This window comes from Homo sapiens, chromosome 19 (genome assembly GCF_000001405.40).
Source record: "Homo sapiens chromosome 19, GRCh38.p14 Primary Assembly".
Classification (NCBI taxonomy): Eukaryota; Metazoa; Chordata; class Mammalia; order Primates; family Hominidae; genus Homo; species Homo sapiens.
The window spans coordinates 55,003,898-55,012,699 of NC_000019.10; the positions used below are offsets into that span (position 1 = coordinate 55,003,898).

At 46.9% G+C, this 8,802-nt stretch overlaps 1 long non-coding RNA gene across 2 annotated transcripts in view, besides 1 other annotated feature; it reads left to right on the top strand.

Moving 5' to 3' along the window:
• Positions 1 to 2,329: 2,329 nt before the first annotated feature.
• Positions 2,330 to 8,802, top strand: part of GP6-AS1 (GP6 antisense RNA 1) — a 38,091-nt gene continuing 31,618 nt past the window's right edge. The window contains exons 1-2 of one of the 2 annotated variants that reach the window (XR_001754012.3): positions 2,330 to 2,402; positions 2,520 to 2,567. This is a non-coding gene — a long non-coding RNA (GP6 antisense RNA 1). The remainder of the gene's footprint in view (positions 2,403 to 2,519; positions 2,568 to 8,802) is intronic. The other variant, XR_001754013.3, reaches the window with a different exon arrangement.
• Positions 7,960 to 8,519: an enhancer, noted in NCBI's record as "OCT4-NANOG-H3K27ac-H3K4me1 hESC enhancer chr19:55523225-55523784 (GRCh37/hg19 assembly coordinates)". NCBI's record gives its function as "activates a minimal SCP1, AML or CMV promoter by ChIP-STARR-seq in naive H9 embryonic stem cells {active_cell/tissue: H9 hESC(naive)}" and the evidence as "EXISTENCE:reporter gene assay evidence [ECO:0000049][PMID:30033119]".

The following is an 8,802-nucleotide window of genomic DNA, read 5'->3' on the forward strand; positions in this document are numbered from 1 at the left end:
GTCCTGTACATTTCCAGGGTGTTCGGCACCATCCCTAGCCTCTACCCCCTAGATACCAGCTCACATCCTCACAGTTAACAGTGATCAAAAATGTCTCTGGGCAGTAGAAAATATTTCCTGAAATGCAAAGTTTTCTTAGGTTGAGAACCATTGTAATCTAGCCCCATCTTTAGAGAAGAAATTGAGTAACGGATCTACATCCATTGAGGAACTATCGACACCCCAGGGGCCCATGAAATGTAAACTCGCACTCACAATTAACCATCTTTCTCCAACGTGTGTATTTCATGTAGCCACACTCTCAGATGCCCACCCCCATGACCTACAAGTCCTAAACAGGGAAACCTGTGGCACATGGGTTCATGTGTGTCTGAATCTATACGTTCAGAGATGAACAAGTACTGCTCTCCCTATACCTGTGACCACTCGCCTCCGCCCATCACTGAATTCTGAAAATGTGGCCTCAGGCTCACAGCAGCATTAGCACTTGCTTGCTCTGGATCTCATCACATTGATGATCAAGAACAAAGTATTCACTGGGTTCTCTGCTAAGGATACAAAAAAAACCATTCCACAATTCCACGGCCATGTTTGCACCCAGGAACCACGAGGGCTGGGTTAGCCCAGATGGTGGGCTTGGGAAATGTTCCTGGAGCAAAAAAAAGAGCCAGAAGTCATGAGAGCCTGACCCCCTCCCCCAACGCGCACACACACACACCACTCTCTACCTCCAAGCCTCATTTTCAGGCTTCTCAAAGCTAAGGTCACTCCCATGAGCTAAGCCGCGCTTTTCTCAATCCTCAGCTCTTCCACAAGAATAGGAAGAACTCTCTCCTGTTCAAGATCCTGTGGCTCAGCTGCAGCTCTGGAAGAAAGACCCCGGTGAGGGTCTTGCTTTTCACAATCCCCAATCCCAGACCACATCCTGTGCCCCAAAACAACTTCCATGGTAACCACATCCTTCAGGAAGTGAAGTCAGGCAGGAAGTCAAGTCAGAAGACGGAATGGGCTGGGCATGGTGGATCGCACCTGTAATCCCAGCACTTTGGGAGGCAGAGGCAGGTGGATCACATGAGGTCAGGAGTTTGAGACCAGCCTGGCCAACATGGTGAAACCCTGTCTCTACTAAAAATACCAAAAGTAGCCAGGCTTGGTGGTGCATGCCTGTAATCCCAGCTACTCTGGAGGCTGAGGCAGGAGAATCGCTTAAACCCGGAAGGCGGAGGTTGCAATGAGCCGAGATCGCACCATTGCACTCCAGCCCGGGGGACAGAAAAAAAAATGTAGCTGAGCATGGTAGTGCACGTCTGTGATCTCAGCTACTTGGGAGTCTGAGGCAGGAGAATCACTTGAACCCAGGCGGTGGAGGTTGCAGTGAGCCAAGATTGTAATAGTCCAATGTGTTCACCTTGCCCACTGCCTAGACAGAGCTGATTCGTCAAGACAGGGAATCGCAATAGAGAATAATTCATGCAGAGCTGGCTCTACGAGAGACCAGAGTTTTATTATTATTCAAATCAGTGTCTCCCAGCATTCAGGAAGCGTTTTTAAGGATAACTTGGTGGGTGGGTGGGAAGCCAGTGAGCCAGGAGTGCTGTTTGGTCAGGGATGAAATCGTGGGAGCCAAAGCTATCTTCTTGCACTCAGTTCCTGAGTGGAGGCCAAAAGATAAGATGGGCCAGTTTATTGATATGGGTGGTGCCAGCTGATCCATCAAGTACAGGGTCTGCAAGTTAAACGCTGATCTTAGAAGCAGTTTAGGGAGGGTCACAATCTTGTAGCCTCCAGCTGCATGACTCCTAAGTCATAATTTCTAATCTCGTGGCTAATGTTCGTCCTACAGGGCCAATCTAGTCCCCAGGCAACAAAGAGGTGTGCTTTGGAAAAGGGCTATCATCTTTGTTTAAACTATAAGTTTCTCCCAAAGTTCAGCCTATGCCCAGGAATGAAAAAGGACAGCTTGGAGGTTAGAAGCAAAATGGAGTCAGTTAAATCTCTTTCACTGTCTCAGTCATAATTTTGGAAAGGTGGTTTCAAGCTGGCACAACTGCACTCCACCCTAGGAGACAGAGCGAGACCCTGTCAAAAAAAAAAAAAAAAAACAAGAAGTGAAGTCAAGATAGGAGGTAAATTCGGAAGACAGGAAGTGGTGGTAGAAGACAAGAAGTGAAGTCATACAGGAAGTAAAGTCAGAAGACAGGAAGTGAAGTAAGAAGACAGGAAGTGGTTGTAGAAGACAGGAAGTGAGGTCATACAGGAAGTAAAATCAGAAGACAGGAAGTGACGTCAAACCAGGATTTGCAGTCGGAGGCAGGCAAGAAGTGAAATCAGAAGACGGGAAGTGGCTGAGGGGAACGTCTTTTCTCTCTCCTGCTCAGCCCGAAGTGAACAGGTAGCATCAGGTGTGCCATTTCAGTGACTGGGCACAGCCCAGGCACCCACATCTCTCTGCAGCGCCTATTCTTGGAACACCAGAGACCTCTACACTATTTTCTGTTGCTTTTTTCCTTCATTTTCAGAGATGAGATCCTGGATTGAATGACTACTATGGAAAGTGATTGACCAAGGTAAGTCACAACTATCTTGTTCTTTAATTTTGGTGTTGTTTGTTATGACTTGTTAGCCGTCTAGCACTCATAGCTTTGCATTTCCACTCTGCATTACTTGTATTTTTATTATTTTGTGATATTCGTAATAATTTATTATAAAACTGTGTTATTTTTGGATATTTTTAAGTTAAAATGCGATTTTTTAACTAAGTGGCAGTATGCAAAGCAAGTGGTTCAGAACTCTCCCCCATTAATAAGTCTTCTCTCCTGAAAGAAACAATTTTGAGACTTCCTGTTCTTAATTCTGTTTAACAGCATACTTCTAAAAGAAAAAGTGTATACTGTTATTATTTATTGTGTTACAAAAATATACACGCACCTTTCATGCACGTCCGTGTGAAGAGACCACCAAACAGGCTTTGTGTGAGCAATAAAGCTTTTAATCACCTGGGTGCAGGTGGGCTGAGTCTGACAAGAGAGTCAGCGAAGGGGGATAGGGGTGGGGCCGTTTTATAGGATGTGGGTAGGTAAAGGAAAATTACAGTCAAAGGGGGGTTGTTCTCTGGCGGGCAGAGTCGGGGTCATAAGGTGCTCAGTAGGGGAGCTTTTGAGCCAGGATGAGCCAGGAGAAGGAATTTCACAAGACAATGTCATCAGTTAAGGCAGGAACAGGCCATTTTCGCTTCTTTTGTGGTGGAATGTCATCAGTTAAGGCACGAACCGGCCATCTGGATGTGTACGTGCAGGTCACAGGGGATATGATGGCTTAGCTTGGGCTCAGAGGCCTGACATTCCTGTCTTCTTATATTAATAAGAAAAATAAAATGAAATAGGGGTAAAGTGTTGGGACAGCAAAAATTTTTGGGGGTGGTATGGAGAGATAATGGGTGATGTTTCTCAAGGCTGCTTTGAGCAGGATTAGGGGCGGCGTGGGAACCTAAAGTGGGAGCGATTAAGCTGAAGGAAGATTTTGTGGTAAGGGGTGACATTGTGGGATTGTTAAAAGAAACATTTGTCATTTAGAATTATTGGTGATGGCCTGGATACAGTTTTGTATGAATTGAAAAACTAAAGGGAATAAGGAAAGGAGAAAAACAGGTATTAAAGGTCTAAGAATTGGGACGACTCAGGACATCTAATTAGAAAGTGCCTAAGGAGGTTCAGCATAGCCTTGCCAGCAAAGATTATTTATTTATTTTAAGAGTTAACAGTGGCGGTATGGGGATAGTACCAGGAGATACCAGCTGTGCTGGCTTGGAGAAACAGTGTAAACTGGCAGTGTAAACAAGAGCAGGGCATGTGTGAGTAGTTGAGAACGGTGAATAGGAGTATGACTAGACAGAAGATAGTAGGGATGACAAGTTTTTTGGGGCACAATCTAAGTTGGTCTGGTGTCTGGAATGAGACTGGGGCCTAATAAAAAGGAGTGTCTACACAGGAGCTTAAATGGGCTGTATCTTGTAGCATTCCAAGGACAGGCCTGAATTCTGGAAGCGAAAATGGTAAAAGTATTGTCCAGTCCTTTTTAAGTTGGTGGCTGAGCTTGGTGAGGTGTGTTTTTAATAGACCATTAGTCTGTCACTGAATACTAAGAGCCTGAAAAAATGCTTGGCTGATTTGACTAATAAAGGCTGGTCTGTTAGCAGACTGTATAGAGGTGGGAAGGCTGAACTGAGGAATTTTGTCTGACAGAAGGGAATGACAAGGCTAAACTGAAGAATTATGTCTGACAGAAGGGAAGAAATGACTGCGGTGGCCTTCTCAGACCCTGTAGGAAAGGACTGTACTTACCCAGTGAAAGTGTCTACCTAGACTAAGAGGTATTTTAGTTATCTTACTCGGGGCATGTTGAGTAAAGCTAATTTGCCAGTCCTGGGCGGGGGCAAATCCTTGAGCTTGATGTGTAGGGAAGGGAGGGGGCCTGAATAATCCATGAGGAGTAGTAGAATAGCTGATGCAACACTGAGAAGTGATTTCTTTGAGGATAGATTTCCACAATGGAAAGGAAATGAGAGGTTCTAAGAGGCTGGCTAGTGGCTTGTACCATAGCATAGCCTGCCTTTGCTGGTGTGTGGCGATTAGGCCTGGTGGAACCGCCATCAATAAACTAAGTGTGATCAGGGTGAGAAACAGGGAAGAAGGAAATGTGGGGAAATGGGGTGAACGTCAGGTGGATCAGAGAGATGCAGTCATGGGGGTCAGGTGTGGTATCTGGAATAATGTGGGAGGCCAGATTGAAGTCCGGGCCAGGAACAATGGTAATTGTGGGACTTAACAAAGAGTGAGTACAGCTGAAGGAGCCAGGGAGCAGAAAGTATATGCATCAGGTGTGAGTAAGAAAATAGATTTTGGAAATTATGAGAGCTGTAGAGAGTGAGTTGAGCATAGTTTGTGATTTTGAGGGCCTCTAAAAGTATTAAAGCAGCGGCAGCCACAGCACGCAGATATGAGGGCTAGGCTAAAACAGTAAGGTCAAGTTGTTTGGACAGAAAGGCTACAGGGTGTGGTCCTGGCTCTTGTGTAAGAGTTCTGACCGCGCTAACCATGCCTAGGAAGGAAAGGAGTTGTTGTTTTGTAGAAGGTGCTGGGGCTTGAGAGATCAGTCAGACACGATCAGCAGGGAGAGCACGTGTGTTTTTATGAGAATTATGCCGAGATAGGTAACAGATGAGGATGAACTTTGGGCTTGACTGAAGTAATGGGGGCTGTCTGTGAAACCTTGCAGCAGTACAGCCCAGGTAATTTGCTGAGCCTAATGGGTGTCAGGGTCAGTCCAAGTGAAAGCGAAGAGAGGCTGGGACGAGGGGTGCAGGGGAATAGTGAAAAAAGCATCTTTAAGATCAAGCATGGAATAGTGAGTTGTGGAGGAAGGTATTGAGGACAAAAGAGTGTAGGGGTTGGGCACCACAGGGTGCATAGGCAAAACAATTTGATAAGGCGCAGATCCTGAACTAATCTGTAAGACTTTTCCGGTTTTTGGACAGGTAAAATGGGGGAATTGTAAGGAGAGTTTATAGGTTTTAGAAGCCCATGCTATAGCAGGCGAGTGATAACAGGCTTTAATCCTTTTAAAGTGTGCTGTGGGATGGGATATTGGCATTGAGCAGGGTAAGGGTGATTAGGTTTTAATGGGATGGTAACGGGTATGTGATCAGTTGCCAGGGAAGGAGTAGAGATGTCCCATACTTGTGGGTTAAGGTGGGGGAATAGGAGAGGAAGACGCGAAGGAGGCTTTGGGTTGAGGAGAAGGGTGGCAATGAGATGCGGCTGTAGTCCAGGAATAGTCAGGGAAGCAGATAATTTGGTTAAAATATCTCGGCCTAATAAGGGAACTGGGCAGGTGGGGATAACTAAAAAAGAGTGCATAAAAGAGTGTTGTCCAAGTTGGCACCAGAGTGGGGGAGTTTTCAGGGGTTTAGAAGCCTGGCCGTCAATACCCACAACAGTTATGGAGGCAAGAGAAACAGGCCCTTGAAAAGAAGGTAATGTGGAGTGGGTAGCCTCCGTATTGACTAAGGCGACGGACTTACCTTCCACCGTGAGTGTTACCCGAAGCTCGGCATCCGTGATGGTCTACAGAGCTTCCGAGGCGATTGGGCAGCATCAGTCTTCAGCCGCTAAGCCGAGAAGGAGTCAGAGAGCCTTGGGCCAGAGTTCCAGGGGCTCTGGGAGTGGCTGCCAGGTGAGTTGAACAGTCCGATTTCCAGTGGGGTCCCGCACAGATGGGACACGGCTTAGGAGGAATCCTGGGCTGCAGGCATTCCTTGGCCTGGTGGTCAGATTTCTGGCACTTGTAGCAAGCTCCTGGGGGAGGAGGTTCTGGAGGAACGCCTGGCCGCTGCGGTTCAGTTCCCTTCTTGTGTGCTGGAGATGTGGCTGGGGTTTGTCTCACAGTGGAGGCAAGGAATTGCAACTTTTTTCTATTATTGTACACCTTGAAGGCGAGGTTAATTAAATCCTGTTGTGGGGTTTGAGGGCCGGAATTTAATTTTTGGAGTTTTATTTAATGTCGGGAGCAGATTGGGTAATAAAATGTGTATTAAGAATAAGACGGCCTTTTGACTTTTAAGGGTCTAGGGCTGTAAAGCTTCTCAGGGTTGCTGGCGAACGAGCCATGAATTGGGCTGGATTTTTATATTTGATGAAAAAGAGCCTAAACACTATCTGATTTGGGATAAAGAAAAAGGAGCATTAACCTTGACTATGCCTTTAGCTCCAGCCACCTTTCTAAGAGTAAATTGCTGGGCAGGTGGAAGAGGGCTAGTCACTGAACGAAACTGTAAGCTGGACCAGGTGTGGGGAGGGGAGGTGATAAAAAGATAATACGGTGGAGGAGCGGAGGCTGAGGAAGAATTGGGACCTAGCTCAGCCTGGGGAGGAGGGAGAGGTCAGACGGGTCTGTAGAAAAGGAAGATTAGAAAGACTCAGCGACGCTTGGGGTTGAGACTGAGGGGACAGGCAGGAGGGAAAGAAGGAAGATTTGGGACGAGTTGCACTGGGCACAGAGACTAGGAAGGGACTGATGTGTAAAAGAATGCCTGGACGTCAGGCACCTCAGACCGTTTGCCCATTTTACGACAAGAATTATTTAGATCTTGCAGGATGGAAAAATTGAAAGTGCTGTTTTCTGGCTATTTGGAACTGCTGTCCAGTTTGTATTGGGGTCAAGCGGCATTGCAGAAGAAAATAAGGCATTTAGGTTTTAGGTCAGGTGTGAGTTGAAGAGGTTTTAAGTTTTTGAGAACACAGGCCAAGGGAGAGAAGGAGGAGGAATGGAGGGTGGAAGGTTGCCCATAGTGAAGGAGGCAAGCCTAGAGAAAAGAGAGAGTAGAGACACGGAGGGAAGGGGTTCGGGAGTTCTTACCTTCCAGAAAAGCGGGAAAGGGGTTGGGGCATGGATATAAGGGGTTGGGGCACAGAGATAAGAGGTTGGGGCATGGAAATAAGGGATCAGGGTGCAGAGATACGAGGTTGGGGTACTTGCCCCTCTAGAAAAGCGGGACTTGCCGCTAAGAGTGAAGGAGAAGGGGTTGGGGGTTTCTTGCCCCCCAGAAAGGTGGAGAAGGGGTAGAGACATGGAGAGGAGGGGTTGGGGAACTTGCCCCTTCCCCAGAAAAGTGGGACTTGCCACTAAGGGTGAAGGACCAAGGCAGGCATCCCTGCGTGATCTGACACCTCTGAAGCGTGGGTATATAATCAGAGAGGCGTCCCTGCAATGATTAAACGCCAAGGGAAGGCTGCCTTCCCTAGTCCGTGACCGGCGCCGGAGTTTTGGGTCCACAGATAAAACGTGTCTCCTTTGTCTCTACCAGAAAATGAAAGGAATTGAAATTAAGAGAAGGGAGAGATTGAAGAGTGGAAAGGAGAAAGTGGTTGAGGGACAGTGAGAGAGGTTGGAGAAGAGAGTAAGAAGAGGTCGCTTACCCAATTTAAACTTGGTGAGATGTTCCTTGGGCTGGTGGGTCTGAGGACCTGAGGTCGTAGGTGGATCTTTTTCACAGAGCAAAGAGCAAGACAGGGGATTGATCTCCCAAGGGAGGTCCCCCGATCCAAGTCACGGCACCAAATTTCATGTGCGTCCATGTGAAGAGACCACCAAACAGGCTTTGTGTGAGCAATAAAGCTTTTAATCACCTGGGTGCAGGTGGGCTGAGTCCGACAAGAGAGTCAGCGAAGGGGGATGGGGTGGGGCCGTTTTATAGGATTTGGGTAGGTAAAGGAAAATTACAGTCAAAGCGGGGTTGTTCTCTGGCGGGCAGAGTGGGGGTCACAAGGTGCTCTGTAGGGGAGCTTTTGAGCCAGGATGAGCCAGGAGAAGGAATTTCACAAGACAATGTCATCAGTTAAGGCAGTAACAGGCCATTTTCACTTCTTTTGTGGTGGAATGTCATCAGTTAAGGCAGGAACCAGCCATATGGATGTGTACGTGCAGGTCACAGGGGATATGATGGCTTAGCTTGGGCTCAGAGGCCTGACAGCACCTACCTAAAAAATTCCAATAGCACTAAAAGGGTGTGTACAAAATGCAGTGGCTGACTAACCATCTCCTCCATTGCTCCGCCTAAGAGACACCCACTTTTAGCTGTTTTCTTTAGGAACTTGTTAATATTAGGTTTCTAAAAACATGTAACCATGTGAATGAGCTTAGACTTACTGGATTCCTATCATAATAGGCGGGGCCTTAGTTATTCTACAGCGTTGTTCTTACTGTTTTTTCTCTTCCAATGTTTATCTCTATGTCTGCATATCAACA